The sequence below is a fragment of the Homo sapiens genome, chromosome 4 (genome assembly GCF_000001405.40).
Source record: "Homo sapiens chromosome 4, GRCh38.p14 Primary Assembly".
In the NCBI taxonomy this organism is placed as follows: Eukaryota; Metazoa; Chordata; class Mammalia; order Primates; family Hominidae; genus Homo; species Homo sapiens.
In genome coordinates this window covers 53,228,167-53,253,210 of record NC_000004.12, presented here as the reverse complement: position 1 = coordinate 53,253,210, position 25,044 = coordinate 53,228,167, and the positions used below count along the sequence as shown (strand labels likewise).

The 25,044-nt window shown below is 42.2% G+C and overlaps 1 protein-coding gene across 8 annotated transcripts in view, besides 2 other annotated features; it reads left to right on the top strand.

Moving 5' to 3' along the window:
• The window catches only part of SCFD2 (sec1 family domain containing 2), a 493,080-nt gene that overhangs the window by 112,851 nt on the left and 355,185 nt on the right, over positions 1–25,044 (top strand). The gene's annotated exons all lie outside the window — the stretch shown is intronic.
• Positions 15,422–15,933: an enhancer, noted in NCBI's record as "NANOG-H3K27ac hESC enhancer chr4:54103445-54103956 (GRCh37/hg19 assembly coordinates)". NCBI's record gives its function as "activates a minimal SCP1, AML or CMV promoter by ChIP-STARR-seq in primed H9 embryonic stem cells {active_cell/tissue: H9 hESC(primed)}" and the evidence as "EXISTENCE:reporter gene assay evidence [ECO:0000049][PMID:30033119]".
• Positions 15,934–16,445: an enhancer, noted in NCBI's record as "NANOG hESC enhancer chr4:54102933-54103444 (GRCh37/hg19 assembly coordinates)". NCBI's record gives its function as "activates a minimal SCP1, AML or CMV promoter by ChIP-STARR-seq in primed H9 embryonic stem cells {active_cell/tissue: H9 hESC(primed)}" and the evidence as "EXISTENCE:reporter gene assay evidence [ECO:0000049][PMID:30033119]".

Sequence of the window (25,044 nt, the reverse complement as noted above, 5' to 3'; positions counted from 1 at the left end):
TCTAACTGGTGGGAGATAGTATCTCATTGTGGTTTTGATTTGCATTTCTCTGATGGCCAGTGATGATGAGCATTTTTTCATGTGTCTTTTGGCTGCATAAATGTCTTCTTTTGAGAAGTGTCTGTTCATATCCTTTTTCCACTTTTTGGTGGGGTTGTTTGTTTTTTTCTTGTAAATGTGTTTGAGTTCACTGTAGATTCTGGATATTAGCCCTTTGTCAGATGAGTAGGTTGCAAAAATTTTCTCCCATTTTGTAGGCTGCCTGTTCACTCTGATGGTAGTTTCTTTTGCTGTGCAGAAGCGCTTTAGTTTAATGAGATCCCATTTGTCAATTTTGGCTTTTGTTGCCATTGCTTTTGGTGTTTTAGACATGAAGTCCTTGCCCATGCCTATGTCCTGAATGGTAATGCCTAGGTTTTCTTCTAGGGTTTTTATGGTTTTAGGTCTAATGTTTAAGTCTTTAATAATCCATCTTGAATTAATTTTTCTCTAAGGTGTAAGGAAAGGATCCAGTTTCAGCTTTCTACATATGGCTAGCCAGTTTTCCCAACACCATTTATTAAATAGGGAATCCTTTCCCCATTGCTTGTTTTTCTCAGGATTGTCAAAGATCAGACAGTTGTAGATATGCGGTGTTATTTCTGAGGGCTCTGTTCTGTTCCATTGATCTATATCTCTGTTTTGGTACCAGTACCATGCTGTTTTGGTTACTGTAGCCTTGTAGTATAGTTTGAAGTCAGGTAGTGTGATGCCTCCAGCTTTGTTCCTTTGGCTTAGGATTGACTTGGCGATGCGGGCTCTTTTTTGGTTCCATATGAACTTTAAAGTAGTTTTTTCCAATTCTGTGAAGAAAGGCATTGGTAGCTTGATGGGGATGGCACTGAATCTGTAAATTACCTTGGGCAGTATGGCCATTTTCACGATATTGATTCTTCCTACCCATGAGCATGGAATGTTCTTCCATTTGTTTGTATCCTCTTTTATTTCCTTGAGCAGTGGTTTGTAGTTCTCCTTGAAGAGGTCCTCCACGTCCCTTGTAAGTTGGATTCCTAGGTATTTTATTCTCTTTGAAGCAATTGTGAATGGGAGTTCACTCATGATTTGGCTCTCTGTTTGTCTGTTATTGGTGTATAAGAATGCTTGTGATTTTTGTACATTGATTTTGTATCCTGAGACTTTGCTGAAGTTGCCTATCAGCTGAAGGAGATTTTGGGCTGAGATGATGGGGTTTTCTAGATATACATTCATGTCGTCTGCAAACAGGGACAATTTGACTTCCTCTTTTCCTAATTGAATACCCTTTATTTCCTTCTCCTGCCTAATTGCTCTGGCCAGAACTTCCAACACTGTGTTGAATAGGAGTGGTGAGAGAGGGCATCCCTGTCTTGTGCCAGTTTTCAAAGGGAATGCTTCTAGTTTTTGCCCATTCAGTATGATATTGGCTGTGGGTTTGTCATAGATAGCTCTTATTATTTTGAGATACGTCCCATCAATACCTAATTTATTGAGAGTTTTTAGCATGAAGGGTTGTTGAATTTTGTCAAAGGCCTTTTCTGCATCTATTGAGATAATCATGTGGTTTTTTTCTTTGGTTCTGTTTATATGCTGGATTACATTTATTGATTTTCATATATTGAACCAGCCTTGCATCCCAGGGATGAAGCCCATTTGATCATGGTGGATAAGCTTTTTGATGTGCTGCTGGATTTGGTTTGCCAGTATTTTATTGAGGATTTTTGCATCAATGTTCATCAAGGATATTGGTCTAAAATTCTCTTTTTTTGTTGTGTCTCTGCCAGGCTTTGGTATCAGGATGCTGCTGGCCTCATAAAATGAGTTAGGGAGGATTCCCTCTTTTTCTATTGATTGGAATAGTTTCAGAAGGAATGGTACCAGTTCCTCCTTGTACCTCTGGTAGAATTCGGCTGTGAATCCATCTGGTCCTGGACTCTTTTTGGTTGGTAAGCTATTGATTATTGCCACAATTTCAGATCCTGTTATTGGTCCATTCAGAGATTCAACTTCTTCCTGGTTTAGTCTTGGGAGAGTGTATGTGTCGAGGAATTTATCCATTTCTTCTAGATTTTCTTGTTTATTTGCGTAGAGGTGTTTGTAGTATTATCTGATGGTAGTTTGTATTTCTGTGGGATCGGTGGTGATATCCCCATTGTCATTTTTTATTGCATCTATTTGATTCTTCTCTCTTTTCTTCTTTATTAGTCTATCAAGTTTGTTGATCTTTTCAAAAAACCAGCTCCTGGATTTATTGATTTTTTGAAGGGTTTTTTGTGTCTCTATTTCCTTCAGTTCTGCTCTGATCTTAGTTATTTCTTGCCTTCTGCTAGCTTTTGAATGTGTTTGCTCTTACTTCTCTAGTTCTTTTAATTGTGATGTTAGGGTGTCAATTTTAGATCTTTCCTGCTTTCTCTTGTGGGCATTTAGTGCTATATATTTCCCTCTACACACTGCTTTGAATGTGTCCCAGAGATTCTGATATGTTGTGTCTTTGTTGTCGTTGGTTTCAAAGAACATCTTTATTTCTGCCTTCATTTCATTATTTACCCAGTATTCATTCAGGAGCAGCTTGCTCAGTTTCCATGTAGTTGAGCAGTTTTGAGTGAGTTTCTTAATCCTGAGTTCTAGTTTGATTTCACTGTGGTCTGAGAGACAGTTTGTTATAATTTCTGTTCTTTTACATTTGCTGAGGAGAGCTTTATATTCTGTTGATTTGGGGTGGAGAGTTCTGTAGATGTCTATTAGGTGTGCTTGGTGCAGAGCTGAGTTCAATTCCTGGGTATCCTTGTTAACTTTCTGTCTTGTTGATCTGTCTAATGTTGACAGTGGGGTGTTAAAGTCTCCCATTATTATTGTGTGGGAGTCTAAGTCTCTTTGTAGGTCTCTAAGGACTTGCTTTATGAATCTGGGTGCTCCTATATTGGGTGCATATATATTTAGGATAGTTAGTTCTTCTTGTTGCATTGATCCCTTTAGCATTATGTAACGGCCTTCTTTGTCTCTTTTGATCTTTGTTGGTTTAAAGTCTGTTTTATCCGAGACTAGGGTTGCAACCCTTGCCTTTTTTTGTTTTCCATTTGCTTGGTAGATCTTCCTCCATCCTTTTATTTTGAGCCTATGTGTGTCTCTGCATGTGAGATGGGTTTCCTGAATACAGCACACTGATGGGTCTTGACTCTTTATCCAATTTGCCAGTCTGTGTCTTTTAATGGGAGCATTTAGTTCATTTACATTTAAAGTTGACATTGTTATGTGTGAATTTGATCCTGTCATTATGATGTTAGCTGGTTATTTTGCTCGTTAGTTGATGCAGTTTCTTCCTAGCCTTGATGGTCTTTACAATTTGTCATGATTTTTCAGTGGCTGGTACCGGTTGTTCCTTTCCATGTTTAGTGCTTCCTTCAGGAGCTCTTTTAGGGCAGGCCTGGTGGTGACAAAATCTCTCAGCATTTGCTTGTCTGTATTTTATTTCTCCTTCTCTTATGAAGGTTAGTTTGGCTGGATATGAAATTCTGGGTTGAAAATTCTTTTCTTTAAGAATGTTGATTATTGGCCCCCACTCTCTTCTGGCTTGTAGAGTTTTTGCCGAGAGATCTGCTGTGAGTCTGATGGGCTTCCCTTTGTGGGTAACCTGACCTTTCTCTCTGGCTGCCCTTAACATTTTTTCCTTCATTTCAACTTTGTGAATCTGACAATTATGTGTCTTGGAGTTGCTCTTCTCAAGGATTATCTTTGTGGTGTTCTATGTATTTTCTGAATCTGAACGTTGGCCTGCCTTGCTAGATTGGGGAAGTTCTCCTGGATAATATCCTGCAGCGTATTTTGCAACTTGGTTCCATTCTCCCTGTCACTTTCAGGTACACCAATCAGATGTAGATTTGGTCTTTTCACATAGTCCCATATTTCTTGGAGGCTTTGTTCGTTTCTTTTTGTTCTTTTTTCTCTAAACTTCCCTTCTCACTTCATTTTATTCATTTCATCTTCCATCACTGATACCCTTTCTTCCAGTTTATCTCATCGGCTCCTGAGGCTTCTGCATTCTTCACGTAGTTCTCGAGCCTTGGCTTTCAGCTCCATCAGCTCCTTTAAGCACTTCTCTGTATTGGTTATTCTATTTAATACAATCGTCTAAATTTTTTTCAAAGTTTTTAACTTCTTTGCCTTTGGTTTGAATTTCCTCCCATAGCTCGGAGTAGTTTGATCGTCTGAAGCTTTCTTCTCTCAACTCATCAAAGTCATTCTCCGTCCAGCTTTGTTCCGTTGCTGGTGAGGAACTGCGTTCCTTTGGAGGAGGAGAGGCGCTCTGCTTTTTAGAATTTCGAGTTTTTCTGTTCTGTTTTTTCCCCATCTTTGTGGTTTTATCTACTTTTGGTCTTTGATGATGGTGATGTACAGATGGGTTTTTGGTGTGGGTGTCCTTTCTGTTTGTTCGTTTTCCTTCTAACAGACAGGACCCTCAGCTGCAGGTCTGTTGGAGTTTGCTAGAGGTCTACTCCAGACCCTGAGGAGTACCCGGCTGTGTGAGGTGTCAGTCTGCCCCTACTGGGGGGTGTCTCCCACTTAGGCTGCTCGGGGGTCAGGGGTCAGGGACCCACTTGAGGAGGCAGTCTGCCCATTCTCAGATCTCCAGCTGCGTGCTGGGAGAACCACTGCTCTCTTCAAAGCTGTCAGACAGGGACATTTAAGTCTGCAGAGGTTACTGCTGTCTTTTTGTTTGTCTGTGCCCTGCCCCTAGAGGTGGAGCCTACAGAGGCAGGCAGGCCTCCTTGAGCTGTGGTGGGCTCCACCCAGTTCGAATTTCCTGGCTGCTTTGTTTACTTAAGGAAGCCTGAGCAATGGCGGGCGCCCCTCCCCCATCCTCGCTGCCACCTTGCAGTTTGATCTCAGACTGCTGTGCTAGCATCTGCGAGACTCAGTGGGTGTAGGACCCTCCAAGCCAGGTGCGGGATATAATTTCCTGGTGCGCCGTTTCCTAAGCCCGTCAGAAAAGCGCAGTATTTGGGTGGGAGTGGCCCGATTTTCAAGGTGCCGTCTGTCACCCCTTTCCTTGACCAAGAAAGGGAACTCCCTGATCCCTTGTGCTTCCCAGTGAGGCAATGCCTCGCCCTGCTTCGGGTGGCGCATGGTGCGCTGCACCCACTGACCTGCGCCCACTGTCTGGCACTCCCTAGTGAGATGAACCCAGTACCTCAGATGGAAATGCAGAAATCACCTGCCTTTTGCATCGCTCACGCTGGCAGCTGTAGACCGGAGCTGTTCCTATTCGGCCATCTTGGCTCCTCCCCCAAACATGATCTTGTTATTTTTTTTTTTTTTTTTTTTTTTTTTGAGACGGAGTCTCGCTCTGTTGCCCAGGCTGGACTGCGGACTGCAGTGGCGCAATCTCGGCTCACTGCAAGCTCCGCTTCCCGGGTTCACGCCATTCTCCTGCCTCAGCCTCCCGAGTAGCTGGGACTACAGGCGCCCGCCACCGCGCCCGGCTAATTTTTTGTATTTTTTTAGTAGAGACGGGGTTTCACCTTGTTAGCCAGGATGGTCTCGATCTCCTGACCTCATGATCCACCCGCCTCGGCCTCCCAAAGTGCTGGGATTACAGGCGTGAGCCACCGCGCCCGGCCTGATCTTGTTATTTTTTATGGCTGCATAGTATTCCATGGTGTATATGTATCACATTTTCTTTATCCAGTCTTTCATTGATGGGCATTTGGATTGATTCCATGTCTTTGCTATTGTGAATAATAGTGCAATGAACATACATGTGCATGTGTTTTTATGATAGAACAATTTATATTTTTTTGGGTACATACCTAGTAATGGGATTCCTAGGTCGAATGGTAGTTCAGTTTTTAGCTCTTTGAGGAATCTCCATACTGCGTGAACGAATTTACACTCCCACCTACAGTGTACAAGTGTTCCATTTTCTGCACAAACTCACCAGCACCTGTTTTTTGACATTTTAGTAATAGCCATTTTGGCTGTTGTGAGATTATGTCACTATGGTTTTTATTTGCATTTCTCTAATGATCACTGATTTTGAGCTGGTTTTTTATATGCTTTTTGGCCACATGCATGTCTTCTTTTGAAAAGTATCTGTTCATGTCCTTTGCTCAACTTTTGTTTTTTTAATTCTCATTCTTAGTATTCAACCTTTGCCCACTTAATTTTTAATGGTGTTGTTTGGAGTTTTTTTTTTTTTTTTGTAAATTTTTTAAGTTCCTTACAGATGTTGGACATTAGACCTTTGTCAGATCCATAGTTTGCAAAAATTTTTTCCATTCTGTAGGCTGTATGTTTGCTCTGTTGATAGCTTCTTTTACTGTGCAGAGCTCTTTTGTTTGGTTAGATCCCATTTATAATTTTTTTCTTTTGTTAAACTTGCTTTTGGCAACTTCATCATGAAGTCTTTGCCAGTTCCTACGTCCAGAATGATGTTACCTAGGTTATCTTCCAGGGTTTTTATAGTTTTAGGTTTTACATTCAATTAATTAAGTCCTTAATCCATCTTGAGTTGTTTTTTATGTATGGTATAAGGAAAGGGTCCACTTTCAATCTTCTGCTAGCCAGTTATTCCAGCACCATTTATTGAATAGGGAGTTCTTTCCCCATTGCTTATTTATGTCAGCTTTGTCAAAGATTAGATGGTCACAGGCGTGCAGCCTTATTTCTGGGCTCTCTATTCTGTTCCATTGGTCTATGTGTCTGTTTTTGCACTAGTACCATGCTGTTTTGGTTACTGTAGCCTTATAGTATAGTTTAAAGTTGGGTAGTGTGATGTGTCCAGCTTTGTTCTTTTTGGTTAGGATTCCCTTGGCTATTCGGGTTTTTCGTTGTTGTTCCATATGAATTTTAAAATAGTGTTTTCTAGTTTTGGAAAGAATGTCATTGTTATTTTGATAGAAATAGCATTGAATCTGTACATTGCTTTGGGCAGTATACCCATTTTGACAATGCTGATTCTTCCTATCCATGAGCATGAAATTTTTTTTATTTTGTAGTGCCATCTCTGATTTTTTTGAGCAGTGTTTTGTAATTCTCATTGTAGAGATCTTTCCCCTCCCTGATTAGCTATATTCCTAGGTGTTTTATACTTTTTGTGGCAGTTGTAAATGGGATTACATTTCTGATTTGGCTCTCCGCTTGGCTATTGTTGGTGTATAGGAATGATAGTGATTTTTGTACACTGATTTTGAATTCTGTGACTTTGCTGAATTTAGCTTGAGGAGCTTTGTGGGCCACGACTATAGAGTTTTCTAGATATAGGATTATGTTATCTGCAAACAGGGGTAGTTTGACTTTCTGTCTTCCTACTTGGATGTCTTTTATTTATTTCTCTTGCCTAATTGCTCTGACCAGGACTTCCAATACTATGTTGAATAGGAGTTGTGAGAGAGGGCACCCTTGTCTTGTGGCAGTTTTCAAAGGGAATGCTTCCAGCTTTTGCCCATTCAGTATGATGTTAGCTGTGATTTGGCATAGATGGTCCTTACTATTTTGATGTATGTTCCTTCAATACCTAGTTTGTATGAGGTATATTCCTGCAATACCTAGTTTGTGTGAGGTATATTCCTGCAATACTTAGTTTGTGTGAGGTATATTCCTTCAATACCTAGTTTGTTGAGTGTTTTCAACATGAAGGGATGTTGAATTTTATTGAAAGCCTATGCTACATCTATTGAGATGATCATGTGGTTTTTTCCCTTTGGTTCTGTTTGCATGATGAATCATGTTTATTGATTTACATATGTTAAGCCAACCTTGCACTCCATGGATAAAGTTTACTTGATCATTGTGGATTAGCTTTTTAATGTAATTCTGGATTCAGTTTGCTAGCGTTTTGTTGAGGATTTTTGCATCAATGTTCACCAAGGATATTGGCCTGAAGTTTTCCCCTTTTTTTGATGTCTCCACCAGGTTTTTCTATCAGGATAATTCGGGCCTCATGGACTGAGATAGGGAAGAGTCCCTCCTTTTCAATTTTTTGAATAGTTTCAGTAGCAATTGTACCAGCTCTTCTTGTACATCTAGTATAATTCAGCTGTGAATTCATCTGATCCCAGGCTTTTTTTTGGTTGGTAGGCTATTTGTTACTGATTGGATTTCAAAGCTTGTAATTGGTCTATTCAGGGATTCAGTTTCTTCCTGGTTGATTCTTGGGAGGGTGTATGTGTCCAGGAGTTTTTCTATTTCTTTTAGATTTTCTGGTTTGTGTACATAGAGGTGTCCATAGTATTCTCTGATTGTTATTTGAATTTCTGTGGGGTGAGTGGTAATATCCCCTTTGTTCTTTCTAATTGTGTATATTTGAATCTTCTCTCTTTTTTTCTTTATTAGTCTAGCTATTGGTCTATCTTATTATTATTATTATTTTTTTTTTTCAGAAATACCCCAAGGCTTGGGTTGGTTGATCTTTTGAATGGTTTTTCACATCTCAGTCTCCTTCAGTGCAGCTCTGATTTTGCTTATTTCTTGTCTTCTGCTAGCTTTGGAGTTGGTTTTCTCTTGCTTCTCTAGTTCTTTTAGTTGTGATGTTAGGTTGTTAATTTGATGTGGACATCAGACTTTCTGATGTGGACATTTAGTGCTGTACATTTCCTCTTAACACTGCCTTAGCTGTGTCCCACAGATTCTGGTATGTTGTATCTTTATTCTCATTAGTTTCAGAGAACTTCTTGATTTTTGCCTTAATTTCATGAATTACCCCAAAGTCTTTGAGGAGCAAGTTGTTTAATTTCCATGTAATTGTATGGTTTCCAGTGATTTTCTTGGTCTTGAATTCTACTTTTATTATACTGTGGTCTGAGAGACTGGTTGGTATGATTTTAGTTCTTTTGCATTTACTGAGGATTGGATTGTTTTATATTTGATTGTATGGTCAGTTTTAGAGTTTGTGCCATGTGGTGATGAGTAGAATGTATATCCTGTTGTTTTGGGGTGGAGAGTTCTGTATATGTCAATCAGGTCCATTTGGTCCAGTGTTGAGTTCAGGTCCTGAATATCTTTGTTAATTTCCTGCCTCAATGATCTAATACTGTCAGTGGAGTGTCGAAGTCTCCCACAATTATTATGTGGGAGTCTAAGTCTCTTTGAAGGTCCTTAAGATCTTGTTTTATGAATCTGGATGCTCCTGTGTTAGGTGCATATACATTTAGGATAGGTAGATTTTCTTGTTGAGTTGAACCCTTTTCTATAATGTATTTTCTATTATGTCCTTCTCTGTCTTTTTTGATCTTTGTTGGTTTAAAGTCTGTTATGTCTCTTCATTGAATAAAGTTGTAAATAAATTTAAAAATGAGAAAAACAGAAAATACCAAAAACAAACAAACAAATGAAGTCTGTTATGTCTGAAATTAGGATTGAAACCTTTGCTTTTTTCTGCTTTCCATTTGCTTGGTAGATTTTTCTCCATCCCTTTATTTTGTGCCTATGGGTGTCATCACATGTGAGATGGGTCTCTTGAAGACAGCATACCACTGGTTCTTTTTTTTCTCTCTTTTTTTTTTCTTTCCAGCTTGCTACTTTGTGCCTTTTAATGGAGACATTTAGCTCATTTACTTGCAAGGTTAAAGTTGATATGTATGGATTTAATCCTCTCTTCATGTTGATAAGTGGTCATTATGCCAACTTGTTTGTATAGTTGCTTTACAGCATCACTAGTCTGTGTACTTAAGTGTGTTTTTGTAGTGGCTGGTAACAGTCTTTCCTTTTCATATTTAGTGTTTTTTTCAGATATTCTTGTAAGGCAGGTCTGGTAATTATTAATTCTTTCAGCATTTGCATGTCTGAAAAGGGTCTTATTTCTTCTTTGCTTATAAAGCTTAGTTTGGCCAGATATGAAACTCTTGGTTGGAATTTCTTTTCTTTAAGAATGTTGAATATAGGCCTCCAATCTCTTCTAGCTTTTAGGGTTTCTGCTGAGGGGTCTGCTGTTAGTATGATGGGCTTCCCTGTATAGGTGACCTATACTTTCTGTTTAGCTGCCTTAACATTTTGTCTTTCATTTTGACTTGGAGAATCTGTTAATTATGTGTCTTGGGGATGATCTTCTTGTAAAGTATTTTCCTGGGGTTCTCTGCAGTTTCTGAATTTGAATGTTGGCCTCTCTAGCAAGGTTGGGGAAGTTCTCATGGAGGATATCCTAAAATATGTTTTTCAAGTTGCTTCCATTATCCCCATCTCTATAACACTAATGAGTCATAGATTTAGTCTCTTTACATAGTTCCATATTTCTCAGAGGTTTTATTTATGTTTTTTCATTCTTTTTGGTTTATTCTTGTCTGACTGGCTTATTTCAGAAAGCCTGTCTTCAAGCTTTGAGATTCTTTCCTCAACTTGTTATAGTCTGTTGTTAGTACTTGTGATATTACATTTTGAAATTCTTGTAGTGGGCTTTTCAGCTATATCAGATTGACTACATTCTTCTTTATACTGGCTATTTTGTCTGTCAGCTCCTGTATCATTTTATTGTGATTCTAAGCTTCCTTAGATGAGTTTCAGCATTCTCCTGAATCTTGCTGATCTTTATATCTATTCATATTCTGAATTATATTTCTGTTATTTCAGCCATCTCACCTTGGTTAAGAACCTTTGCTCTCCAGCTAGTGCAGTCATTTGGAGGGAAGAAGACACTGGCTTTTTGAGTGGTCAGAGTTCTTGCACTGGTTCTTTCTCATCTTTGTGGGCTAATGTTCCTTCAGTCTTTGAAGTTGCTGTCCTTTGGATTTTTTTTCCTCTTTTATCCTATTTGGTGACCTTGGGGGTTTATTTTTGGTATAATGTGAGTTCAGTCAACTGGCTTCCTTTCTGGAAGATTTTTAGGGAGCCAGGTCTCTGCTCAGGAGTCCAAGCTTGTGTGTTCTAACTTCGGGTGACTGGTATTGGCACTGGCTTTGTTCTCTGGCTCCTCAAGGTTAGGAACCGGCTGCACTTAGGGGACTGAGGTGCTCCCATACTGCTGGTCACAACACTCTGATGGGTGGTGTCAGCCAATGCACTTCATAGTCTGGTGGCAGCAGGATTCATTTTTGTTTGCACATACTAGCAGCACTAGCTGCAGCAGTGCAGCAGGCTACATGCTTGTCAGCTGCGGCAGGATGCTAGTGGGTGCTGGGGTGCCAGCCTCTGTTTCGGCATTCACAGCTGCAGCAATGGCAGCACAGCTTGTGTGGGCTGGGAGCCCCTGTCCAGCAATTGTGCCCTTTTGCACTGCTGATGGTGTTATCATGGGGGTGTGGTACTGGTGGGCATAGGACTTTGTATGTCCTCTGTACATGTCCATGCAGGTGGTGGTGCCACTCAGAGTGGAGGCATGTCCACTGTTTTCCATGTCTCTTTTCAAAGCCACCACAATGTTGGCACAGGGGTGGGGTGCTGGCAGAATTGGGGCTGGTAAGCTCAGTACCCACTAATGCTCAGACAACAATGGTGGTGCAGCAGGAGGAGGGGGAGGGAGTGAACTCTCACTGGCAGCAGTGGCATGACAGGGTGCACACACACATACATGCTGGCATGGGACGGAAGGCAAGGTTTGGTTTGCCTGTGCACACATGTGCTGGCAAAGCGATGTGCAGGGTGTGTGCCAGCAAAGTGGTACATGGGAGGCTGCAGTGGTGGGAGGATACAAGTGGGCTGGTGTATATCAATGGGGCTGCTCTACTGGAGCACGCTGCTGGTCAGGTATGGTCCACCAGCACAGGAGCTATGATGTGGGCCCCCTGGAGGTACCTGGAGACTGGATTGCAAACAGGCACAGCCAGGCTGGGAGAGGCCAGCACACTGAGGGGTGCTTGGGTTGGACTGGCCCTGTCTCATGGGGAAGACTGCCTTGCAGAGTTCAGATCTGACACTTCCCTTGGGGGCTAAAGTCTCCTATGGCAGCAAGTTGAGCCTAGGGGATGGGTATCTCTGTCCATGCTCCACTATAGTTGCCACCGCACCAAATCCTCTGGGCTTTGCAGTGGCTGGAATTCTGCCCCTCGTACTTTTCTGAGCATCTCTCTGCCAACTCATTTGTCTTTGGTGGTTGAGGGGTCTCCTCCTGCCAGGATTCCAGAAGCCTATGGTGAGAGCAGGTTGCTCCTTGCCTATTCAACTCACCTCTTCTGCAGGAGTTGTTGGGGGCTAGAAATAAGTCCTGGTGCTGGTAGCACTGTACAGCATTCCCAGCTTCCTTCCCCTTCAGTCTAGTATCTGTGTCTTCCATCTGTCTGCTCTCAATGCCTTCCCTCTGAAGATCTGCTAGAAGTGTGCCAGTCTTCCTGATGTCCTGGTCCCTTGGTGTGGGAGGTGTTCCTCCTGGCCGTGTCTAGTTGACCATCTTGGAGAGGTCCATTCAATGTTCTTTTCTTCATCTCAAACTGTTTCTAAGAAATCGAACTCAAGGCACTGGATAGCAGAAGCCATCGACCACTGCCCTGTGGCATAGGCAGCCACTTCCGGATGCCTGACTGCATGTCTTTTTCAAGCTTTGCTTTATTTCTTAACTTGTTCAGAACCAGAGCTGCAAAGAGGTTTTTGTTTTGTTTTGTTTTCTGTAGCTATTTTGAGATTCAAACAGTAATCAGAAGTTGTTTTGAATGAAATGTTTTAAATATTTTTGGACAAACGTCAAATGGGAAAGTATTAGTTGCCCCTTTGGTCATTTGTATTTAATAGTTGTATGCAAAAAGAAGTTGGAATCAATGAAATGGTGACATAATACAGGCAACCTTCCCTTTTTGAGGATTAAGTTGAAAATAGTGAAGGTCACTTTCCATTCTGTAAACAAAAGGGGCAGATTTGGCTAGAAGAATACTACCTACCATTTTTCATTGATTCTGATATGTCCATTTTTTCACATTTCTGAAATTTGGGTACATCCTGAAATTGGTAGCATATTTTAGTTGAAACTATTTTTTTCTAGCTTGGGAGCACATAAAATAATGGTGTGTGTTACGATCAATTATAGAGTCTTAGATCAATGAAATGGGATTTTTGAAGGTAAGAGGTAGATGAGAATTCCCTCAGACCTGGGCCCGACTTCATATCTTTCTGGTTCTGCTGTGTTGGCAAAACCACTGGAGCAAAAACATGGTGGCAGTTTGCCTTCACTGGCCCTGAGTATGACAAAAAGTTGTTCACTTGTTGTAGTCAACCCATTGTAGCACCTTTCATAAGTTAAGGAGGGTGATCTTTTATCAGATACCTTTGTGACTGCTTGAATATGCTGAGAATATATCATGATTATTTCAGCAACACTGAACTTTCTCCCAATGTAGTCTAGGACTGAGGGATGCTTTGGGAATGACCTTTTAGGCTGACATTATGAGATCTTAGGCTAGGAAGATTTTTATGAGTGGATTGCTGATAGCTCGAGAATGTCTTAATTTAGCTTGGGTCTATACAGTGAAATGTAAGTAGCATAATATTTTAAGTGTTAAACAAAGGCCGGGCATGGTGCCTCATGCCTGTAATCCCAGCACTTTGGGAGGCTGGGATCACCTGAGGTCAGGAGTTCAGGACCAGCCTGACGAACATGGAAAAACCCGTCTCTACTAAAAAATACAAAATTAGCTGGGTGTGGTGGCACATGCCTGTAATCCCAGCTACTCATGAGGCTAAGGCAGGAGAATCACTTGAACCCAGGAGGCAGAGGTTGCGGTGAGCTGAGATCCAGCCATTGCACTCCAGCTTGGGCAACAAGAGCGAAACTCCGTCTTATTAAAACAGTGACTTTGACTTAAAAGATTGGGGACGCTCTCTCCCTCTCCCTCTCCCTCTCCCTCTCCCTCCTCTCCCTCCTCTCCCTCTCCCTCTCCCTCTCACTCTCCCCACGGTCTCCCTCTCCCTCTCTTTCCATGGTCTCCCTCTCCCTCTCTTTCCACGGTCTCCCTCTCATGCTGAGCCAAAGCTGGACTGTACTGCTGCCATCTCGGCTCACTGCAACCTCCCTGCCTGACTCTCCTGACTCAGCCTGCCGAGTGCCTGCGATTGCAGACTCGCGCCGCCACGCCTGACTGGTTTTGGTGGAGACGGGGTTTCGCTGTGTTGGCCAGGCCAGTCTCCAGCCCCTAACCGCACGTGATCCACCAGCCTCGGCCTCCTGAGGTGCTGGGATTGCAGATGGAGTCTCGTTCACTCAGTGCTCAATGGTGCCCAGGCTGGAGTGCAGTAGCGTGATCTCGGCTCGCTACAACCTCCACCTCCCAGACGCCTGCCTTGGCCTCCCAAAGTGCCGAGATTGCAGCCTCTGCCCGGCCGCCACCCCGTCTGGGAAGTGAGGAGCATCTCTGCCTGGCCGCCCATCATCTGGGATGTGAGGAGCCCCTCTGCCTGGCTGCCCAGTCTGGAAAGTGAGGAGCGTCTCCGCCCGGCCGCCATCCCACCTAGGAAGTGAGGAGCACCTCTGCCCGGCCGCCATCACATCTAGGAAGTGAGGAGCGTCTCTGCCCGGCCGCCCATCGTCTGAGATGTGGGGAGCGCCTCTGCCCCGCCGCCCCGTCTGGGATGTGAGGAGCACCTCTGCCCGGCCGCAACCCCGTCTGGGAGGTGAGGAGCATCTCTGCCCGGCCACCCCGTCTGAGAAGCGAGGAGCTCCTCCGCCTGGCAGCCGCCCCGTCTGGGAAGTGAGGAGCCCCTCCGCCCGGCAGCCGCCCCATCTGGGAAGTGAGGAGCGTCTCCGCCCGGCAGCCACCCCATCCGGGAGGGAGGTGGGGGGGTCAGCCCCCGCCCCACCAGCCGCCCCATCCGGGAGGGAGGTGGGGGGGTCAGCCCCCTGCCCGGCCAGCCGCCCATCCGGGAGGGAGGTAGGGGGGTCAGCCCCCCGCCAGGCCAGCCGCCCTGTCCGGGAGGGAGGTGGGGGCATCAGCCCCCGCCCGGCCAGCCGCCCCGTCCAGGAGGGAGGTGGGGGGGTCAGCCCCCACCCGGCCAGCTGCCCCGTCCAGGAGGTGAGGGGCGCCTCTGCCTGGCCGCCCCTACTGGGAAGTGAGGAGCCCCTCTGCCCGGCCAGCCGCCCCGTCCGGGAGGGAGGTGGGGGGGTCAGCCCCCCGCCCGGCCAGCCACCCCGTCTGGGAGGTGAGGGGCACCTCTGCCCGGCCACCCCTACTGGGAAGTGAGGAGCCCCTCTGCCCGGCCAGCCGCCCCATCCGGGAGGGAGGTGGGGGGGTCAGCCCCCCGCCCGGCCAGCCACCCCATCTTGGAGGGAGGTGGGGGGATCAGCCCCCTGCCCGGCCAGCCGCCCCGTCCGGGAGGGAGGTGGGGGGGTCAGCCCCTCGCCCGGCCAGCCGCCCCGTCCGGAAGGGAGGTGGGGGGGTCAGCCCCCCGCCAGGCCAGCCGCCCCGTCAGGGAGGGAGATGGGTGGGGGGCGCCTCTGCCCGGCCGCCCCTACTGGGAAGTGAGGAGCCCCTCTGCCCGGCCAGCCGCCCCGTCCGGGATGGAGGTGGGGGGGTCAGCCCCCCGCCCGGCCAGCCGCCCCGTCCGGGAGGTGAGGGGCGCCTCTGCCTGGCCGCCCCTACTGGGAAGTGAGGAGCCCCTCTGCCCGGCCAGCCGCCCCGTCCGGGAGGGAGGTGGGGGGGTCAGCCCCCCGCCCGGCCAGCCGCCCCGTCCGGGAGGTGAGGGGCGCCTCTGCCCGGCCGCCCCTACTGGGAAGTGAGGAGCCCCTCTGCCCGGCCAGCCGCCCCATCTGGGAGAGAGGTGGGGGTCAGCCCCCCGCCCGGCCAGCCGCCCGTCCGGGAGGGAGGTGGGGGGGTCAGCCCCCCCGCCCGGCCAGACCCCCCATCCGGGAAGTGAGGGGCGCCTCTGCCCGGCCGCCCCCTACTGGGAAGTGAGGAGCCCGTCTGCCCGGCCACCACCCCGTCTGGGAGGTGTAGCCAACAGCTCATTGAGAACGGGCCAGGATGACAATGGCGGCTTTGTGGAATAGAAAGGCAGGAAAGGTGGGGAAAAGATTGAGAAATCGGATGGTTGCCGTGTCTGTGTAGAAAGAAGTAGACATGGGAGACTTTTCATTTTGTTCTGTACTAAGAAAAATTCTTCTGCCTTGGGATCCTGTTGATCTATGACCTTACCCCCAACCCTGTGCTCTCTGAAACATGTGCTGTGTCCACTCAGGGTTGAATGGATTAAGGGCGGTGCAAGATGTGCTTTGTTAAACAGATGCTTGAAGGCAGCATGCTCGTTAAGAGTCATCACCACTCCCTAATCTCAAGTACCCAGGGACACAAACACTGCGGAAGGCCGCAGGGTCCTCTGCCTAGGAAAACCAGAGACCTTTGTTCACTTGTTTAGCTACTGACCTTCCCTCCACTATTGTCCTATGACCCTGCCAAATCCCCCTCTGTGAGAAACACCCAAGAATTATCAATAAAAAATAAATAAATAAATAAATAAATAAATAAATAAATAAATAAATAAAACAGTGACTTTAAGTAGTTAGAAATCATGACAGATTATCCTAGTTAAAATAACCCTGTAATTATTATTTTTAAAGCAATATAAATATATAAATATATAATTACTGTATTTGCTTATTTTTAAACCTGTTTTGCATAGAACTCATTTTGATTAAAAAAAAACATGCCAGACATTTTATTCATAACTGCTGATTATTCATTTTGAACTGCAATTTAGTTAGAACAATATACTCAAAGTTAGTTAACTTTATATAACAAGAAGCACCATTTAAAACAACTAAGAAAAATAGCTTTTGAATATGTATTAGTCAAGGTTCTCTTAGAGGGACAGAACTAATGGGATATATATATATATATATCCTTATATATGTGTGATATATATATCCTAATAAATATATCATATATATATACACACACACTTACATATGCTTAATAAACTCCACTTTAGTATTAACTTACACAATCACAAGGTCTCACAATAGTGGAGACCTTGTAAGTGGAGGAGCAAGGAGAGCCAGTCTGAGTCCCAAAACTGAAGAACTTGAGAGTTCGATGTTCGAGGGCAAGAAGCTTCCAGCATGGGAGAAAGATGTAGGCTGAGAGGCTAGGCCCGTCTCTATTTTTAATGTTTTTCTGCCTGCTTTATATTCGCTGGCAGCTGATTAGATTGTGCCCACCAGATTAAGGGTGGATCTGCCTTCCCCAACCCACTGACTCAAATGTTAATCTCTTTTACCAATACCCTCACTTACACACCCAGAATCAATACTTCGTATCCTTCAATCCAAGTTTACACTCAATATTAACCATCACAGAATACAAAGTTTCTACTGTGCCTCTCAACTTCTCTAACCATTTGCTTTTTTATCCTCCTCAGTCCATAGATTGCCCCAGGCTTTAGAGTGTTCTACATTATTCTTGGTTATTCAGTATTTACTCCAGTGTTAGTGTTATAGATTTCCCTTTTTGTCCTTATACACACATATGTATGCACACACGTATGTATGCACACACGTATGCACACACACGCATGCTCATACTTTCATTTCCTCTTCCACACATATCAGGCTTACATACAGAAAACTAGAGCTGAGGTAACTTTGATCTTGACAAATGGGGAATCTCAGAGCATTTACAATTGCTACTTTCTCTTCACATAGCTGGCTCAGATCAAAACTCAATTGTGGGCTTCTCAAGGAGGACTTCCCTGAATAGCTTGGAGCCACTGTTGTTTTATATTTACTTCTCGTTTATTGACATTATTTTGTTTACTTTATCTCTCTCTGCTAGAATATAAGATAAGTGAGAGCAGAGACCTTGGGTACTTTATTCATGAGTATGTCCTCAAATGTAGAATCTTCATTTTCACATTTGTAGTAGCAGGCATAACTTCCCACTCATGGGAATTGGAGTAGTTTGTTATAAACATGGAATTTACTTGCCACAGATTGGTACCTGCCATAAATTGATAAATGTTTACATGGTTTACCAGAGTCTGGAGAGATATCTCATTGTGGCTGTTAGGACAGAGAGGCTTCTTTATGTTCTTACCACCTGTTCTCACCTTTTTGCATAGCACATGGCCACCCCAAGTAATGAATGTGCTTCCCAGTTACCCTTCCAACTAGATGAGACCAGGTTCTGGCAAATGAGACCTATGTAGATGTGATGTGGGCCAGGTTCAGGCTGTGCATTTAAAGGGCAGGCACATGTCTTCCCTTATCCCCTTTCTTCCTGCTTGCTGAAATGCAGCCAGAATGGCAGGAGCAGGAGTGGCCATCTTGGATCATAGAGGAAGCTGTGTGTTGGGGATGTTTGAGCAAAAGATGGGAAGACCGTGGTCGGTTATCTCATGATGGTGGAAACACCATACCAGCCCAGGATCACCTATTTTCACTTTGTGTGAGTAAGACATACATTCCTATCTTGCTTAAGGCACTGTAATTTTGGATCTCTGTGATAGTAGGTGAACTACATTCCAATTAATATGGTCACCTTTTGTTGCAATATTCATCACAGGAGTTCGTGCTGTGAGCCTTGTAATTCTGATCATTTTATGACCTGCTAAGGAAGTGATCAAAATAATGAATTATCTTGATGCTTGTGCTCTTAAACGTCGCCAGATTCTGGGTGTTTGGAAGTAGTGTATGAATATTTCACTTACTTTGGTGCAAACCTAAATTTTTAAAATTTTTAAATTTTCCAAAGAAATGTATCAAAAAAGTCCCAGATAAAGAACATTAGGAATTAAAGAGATCTGAGCTGCCTAACATGTTGGCTCCTCAGACATTCATATGATTAGACACTTTTATTTAATTGACAAAACCTCTGTCCTCCAGTCCCCATTTTTTAAAATCATTCAGAATACCTGGGGGATACTGTATTATTTATAGAGAGAATTAATAAACTTTACTACTTCCAAGAAATATAAATCTCTCCATCACCTTCTCTCCTCTCCAGGGAAGCTCCTCCCTCAAGTTCTTTGCCAAGAGAGGTGTCACTTCCAAATAGTGGAGGGGAAAAGCTGAAAAGCCTTTTCCAAAGTATTCTGTTTCAGTCTGTGTAATAACAATGTATTGAGCACATGCTGTCTGCTAGACAGTAACATTGTCAAACTGAAACAAATATTTTTTTTTGGATGTGCATACAATTTCTTTTGTAATGTGGATTTATCAGTACATTACTACTACTTGTGCCATTTTTCAAAGATACAGGACAAAGTAGGATTTTATAGGCTGGTATGAGTATCTGAGTCCTGCTTTTCTAGTATTGCTTCTGTGAGAAAAATAAGTCCTAGATTCTGCATTTAATTGATAACTTTTTTTATGAGTACTGGGATTACTGAAATGCATTGTTTCCCATTAGTTTGTTTTTCTTTGATATATCTATAAATTTGGCATTCACGTTAAATTTTTATCTTGAGTTTTACTCCTCAGTAAGCTTTTAATTGGACACTCATGAGACCTACACATTTCTCCATAAGGATATATCATCTCAATTTCATTTCTTCTTGCAGAATAGTTATTTTAATGTAGTTCTTCTCCCTTATCACATTAAAGTATTGTATTTTTGAATAATGAAAGAGAGACAAATAGAAAAAAGAAAATAACACCATGAACTTTTGTTCCTTTGCCCAGGGTAGGCATATGGCCAGATTTGGAGTTAGGTGAATCTGTGCCAAGCATCTGATCAGAAAATGAGAGTCGAATATATAGGCTATGTAAACCAGTGCTTTTTAACTGGCCTTGCTTTAGAAGCAATGATATCATGTGTTATTCCAGCTGGAAACCAGAGTTAGTAATCAGGCAAAGTAAGTTTAAGGCTAACAATTTTGGTTCTTACCATTTCATGGGTTTACTAAAAAAGTTTCAAATACACACCTTATGCCAGTGACTGAAGGCGCATATGGGTGGGTCTTCATTTTGTGAAAAACAAGGAGGATACAACCATTCTGGTTATTCTTGCATGACCAAAAGGGAAATAACAGTGGTTTGTGCTTCCCTACACTAACTGAATCTTCCATCCTGAGCCACTCCCTCTAGCTGTTTGTACCATGACAACTACCCCAGTGGTGCTAGGATTTTTTTTTTCTTTGTTAAACACCTAGGTTCCTAAGAATAAAAGGACATAACACTAATTGATTTTTTTTTCTTTTTAGCATTAGCCTTGGAGAAACCAAGTCTTGCTTATGTCTGTTCACAGGGCATTTAGGTCTAATGTGCCTAAAGGTGTGCTTTTCTGAAAGAAGCCTATGCCTAGGCTGGCAGAATACCTAGAGTATTTCTGACTTAAGGATTCCGAGAGTGCTAGAGGTTAGCTTAACATTAGTGGGTGCCTGAGACTAGACAGGAGTGTTGGGCTAGCGCATGGATTTCTCCATGATCTCTGGAAAGTCTATGCCTTGCTATCTCCCTCTGTTCTTCTCATTCTTTACTTTGAAGTTAAAGGACTCACAGCAGAAGTGGACAGGTGGAAGATGTAGAAGAGTGCTGAGCAGAACCTGTTAAGTCTGTCTGGTTTTTTTCTCCAGAATGTGTTGATGCTTGAAGTGATGAATGTCGAATGATCCGAATCTCCTAAAGATGGACATACTTTAGGAGGAATATGTGGCTTTCCTCAGCTCTTTCTTTCTTTACTCAAGGCTGTCCAGTGGGAGCAGAACTAGCTTATGACTTGCAGTATTGTGTTGCAGTGTAATTTTATAAACATTCTGGAACTATTTCTTCTAGAGTAATTTATGATATTTCATGTCCTGTGCAGAAAAAGAAATCCACAGCTGGGCAATTACATACTGGTTGTACTGTATGTTTTTAACAGGCATCTTTCCTAACATAAAATGCAAGAATACTAGTCTTGTTTTTTTGTCTCCTGATTTTGTAAATAAGCAAAACAAAATTGCCAAAAAGCTTATTCCAGGGGAAAAATATGTGTTAAAAATTGATAGATTATCACCCTTCCACGTGGAGCTTTCTATTGTTATCCATCCATGTGATTAAAAAAAATCTTTATTGTAGTTTTACTAGAGAATACAAAAGATTCCTTTGAGTAGTTCGTCCACATAGGGATGGTGCAGCCTTTTTTCTTTTTGTAAGTGAACTGTTTTGTTTTGGTTGCTGTTTTGTTTTATATATTAGTAAGTATTTAAAGTTTGTTTTCCTTGCAACATTCTGGATTCATAATTTTTAAATAGAAAAAAGTAGGGAAATAAACTGGAAATATTTGGGTTTGGCATTTCTTGTTACTAATTTTTGTTGAAAAATATAGAATTTCTCTTCTGTCTTATTGAATATATGATACCCACTAGTTTTTGTTTTGTATTCTTTAACGTTGGTTTTGATAGAAAAAACATTATAAAGTACAAAGACATAAAATCTGTACATGTAGAGTACATCAAGGTGTTTTGAGACTAAAAGGAAGATAATTACATGAAACTTTAATATATATATAACATTTTTTGTTTAATTTTTTTAGGTAAGTTTTATTTGATGGATTTGTTTTCTTCTTGGTACTACATTTTTTAAGGGATTATAGCCTTAGTGAGAAAAAGAAAAGAAAAAAGTATATTAGCAGTAATCTCATAAACATAACATTTTAGAGGAAAGCTGCCTATTTAAATATGATGAATTTATCAACCAAGGCATACACCATCAGCACTCTTCTCTATTGACCAGGATAGTTTTTAATGGCACCCACCTGATTTAAATTCTCCTTAAGAATAATTCATATATTGATTGGGTATAGGAATAATTGAGTGTGTTTCTGATTAGCATGATAAAATAATACAGTAAAAAAAGAGAAAATATAGACTAAAGTTTAGAAGTGAAGACATTTTGCTTTTGTAGGAGAGCTTATGAAATGACCTCCAAATGGAGATGATTTCTTATGTAACCAGAACATAAAATCCATTCATTCAATCAATATTTATCGAGCCACCTATTAGACACCAGACGCCATGCTTTGACAGCAAGGCTGAATCCATGAACAAGAAAAACAAAATCTGTGCTGTTGTGCGGCTTGCATTATCTAGTGAGTAGGGACGAGCAAGTTAAATAATAAGGATTATAGTCAGCACAGATCGTGAGCATCTGTTAGGTCTGAAACACTTTGTTCAGTATTAAGAAGGGTTTTTTTTTAAAAAACTAGTTTTCAATTTATAAGGGATATATATCCTACTTAACACATGAATGGTTCCTTTCTTAGTATGCCATAGTCCCTTATGCATATACCTATAATAATACCTATCAGTTGTAGCATGGCTTATTTGCATCCATCTCACTCTGGCACAACTATACCCATACTGTTAGACTGACATTTTATAACTTATTTATTTGTGCTTTCACTTCACTTGGAATATGCCTGACCTATAAGAAGCATACAATACAGTGTACATATTGGTTTGATGTATGTATAGTTCTTTATAGTTAGTGAGGCATTTTCATCTAATTTTATTTCAAAATTATACCTCAGAGATCTGAGGTATTGAATATCTGATTTCAATACCTGATTCAGATATTGCATATCTTTTTTTTAAATTTTATTATTATACTTTAACTTTTAGGGTACATGTGCACAACGTGCAGGTTTGTTACATATGTATATATGTGCCATGTTAGTGTGCTGTACCCATTAACTCGTCATTTAGCATTAGGTATAGCTCCTGATGCTATCCTTCCCCCTCCCCCCACCCCACAACAGTCCCCAGTGTGTGATGCTACCCTTCCTGTGTCCATGCGTTCTCAGTGTTCAATTCCCACCTATGAGTGAGAACATGCGGTGTTTGGTTTTTTGTCCTTGCGATAGTTTGCTGAGAATGATGGTTTCCAGCTTCATCCATGTCCCTACAAAGAACATGAACTCATCCTTTTTTGTGGCTGCATAGTATTCCATGGTGTATATGTGCCACATTTTCTTAATCCAGTCTATCATTGTTGGACATTTGGGTTGGTTCCAAGTCTTTGCTATTGTGAATAGTGCCGCAATAAACATACATGTGCATGTGTCTTTGTAGCAGCATGATTTCTAATCCTTTGGGTATATACCCAGTAATGGGATGGCTAGGTCAAATGGTATTTCTAGTTCTAGATCCCTGAGGAATCGCCACACTGACTTCCACAATGGTTGAACTAGTTTACAATCCCACCAACAGTGTAAAAGTGTTCCTATTTCTCCACATCCTCTCCAGCACCTGTTGTTTCCTGACTTTTTAATGATCGCCATTCTAACTGGTGTGAGATGGTATCTCATTGTGGTTTTGATTTGCATTCTCTGATGGCCAGTGGTGATGAGCATTTTTTCATGTGTTTTTTTGGCTGCATAAATGTCTTCTTTTGAGAAGTGTCTGTTCATCTCCTTGGCCCACTTTTTGATGGGGTTGTTTGTTTTTTTCTTGTAAATTTGTTTGAGTTCATTGTAGATTCTGGATATTAGCCCTTTGTCAGATGAATAGGTTGCAAAAATTTTCTCCCATTCTGTAGGTTGCCTGTTCACTCTGATGGTAGTTTCTTTTGCTGCGCAGAAGCTCTTTAGTTTAATGAGATCCCATTTGTCAATTCTGGCTTTTGTTGCCATTGCTTTTGGTGTTTTAGACATGAAGTCCTTGCCCATGCCTATGTCCTGAATGGTATTGCCTAGGTTTTCTTCTAGGGTTTTCCTGGTTTTAGGTCTAACATGTAAGTCTTTAATCCATCTTGAATTAATTTTTGTATAAGGTGTAAGGAAGGGATCCAGTTTCAGTTCTCTAGATATGGCCAGCCAGTTTTCCCAGCACCATTTATTAAATAGGGAATCCTTTCCCCATTGCTTGTTTTTGTCAGGTTTGTCAAAGATCAGATAGTTGTAGATACATGGCATTATTTCTGAGGTCTCTGTTCTGTTCCATTGGTCTATATCTCTGTTTTGGTAACAGTACCATGCTGTTTTGGTTACTGTAGCCTTGTAGTATAGTTTGAAGTCAGGTAGCTTGATGCCTCCAGCTTTGTTCTTTCGGCTTAGGATTGACTTGGCAATGTGGGCTCTTTTTTGGTTCCATATGAACTTTAAAGTAGTTTTTTCCAATTCTGTGTAGAAAGTCATTGGTAGCTTGATGGGGATGGCATTGAATCTGTAAATTACCTTGGGCAGTATGGCCATTTTCACGATATTGATTCTTCCTAGCCATGAGCATGGGATGTTCTTCCATTTGTTTGTATCCTCTTTTATTTCATTGAGCAGTGGTTTGTAGTTCTCCTTGAAGAGGTCCTTCACATCCCTTGTAAGGTGGATTCCTAGGTTTTTTATTCTCTTTGAAGCAATTGTGAATGGGAGTTCACTCATGATTTGGCTCTCTGTTTGTCTGTTATTGGTGTATAAGAATGCTTGTGATTTTTGCACATTGATTTTGTATCCTGAGACTTTGCTGAAGTTGCCTATCAGCTGAAGAAGATTTTGGGCTGAGATGATGGGTTTTCTAGATATACAATCATGTCATCTGCAAACAGGGACAATTTGAATTCCTCTTTTCCTAATTGAATGCCCTTTATTTCCTTCTCCTGCCTGATTGCCCTGACCAGAACTTCCAACACTATGTTGAATAGGAGTGGTGAGAGAGGGCATCCCTGTCTTGTGCCAGTTTTCAAAGGGAATGCTTCCAGTTTTTGCCCATTCAGTATGATATTGGCTGTGGGTTTGTCATAAATAGCTCTTATTATTTTGAGATACGTCCCATTAATACCTAATTTATTGAGAGTTTTTAGCATGAAGTGTTGTTGAATTTTGTCAAAGCATATCTTATTTCAATATCTGAGATATAGAAAATATCTTAACGTTTGTATCTATTTTATCTTCATCAAACTCATAAAAGAGGTAATGTTATTGTTGAAGCAACAGAAGACAACAAGTTTAAGTGACAACTTGTACATAAGGGTTTTTGCCAAGAGTCGTAGAAGAAGGATGACTATAGCTGCTCATGTCTCTAACTTGGTCTAATGTTGTCAGAAATGTATCAATCTTGCCAGAAACCCTTATCACTTTTGTTTCACCACACCACTCCCATTTTTACCCTGTTCTTTGTAAAATCATCCTGAAGTCTTTACAAGATGTTTGTACTGAAATTATGAGATAGTTGATCCCCACTACCACCCCATCTACCACCATTGAGCTCTTGCCC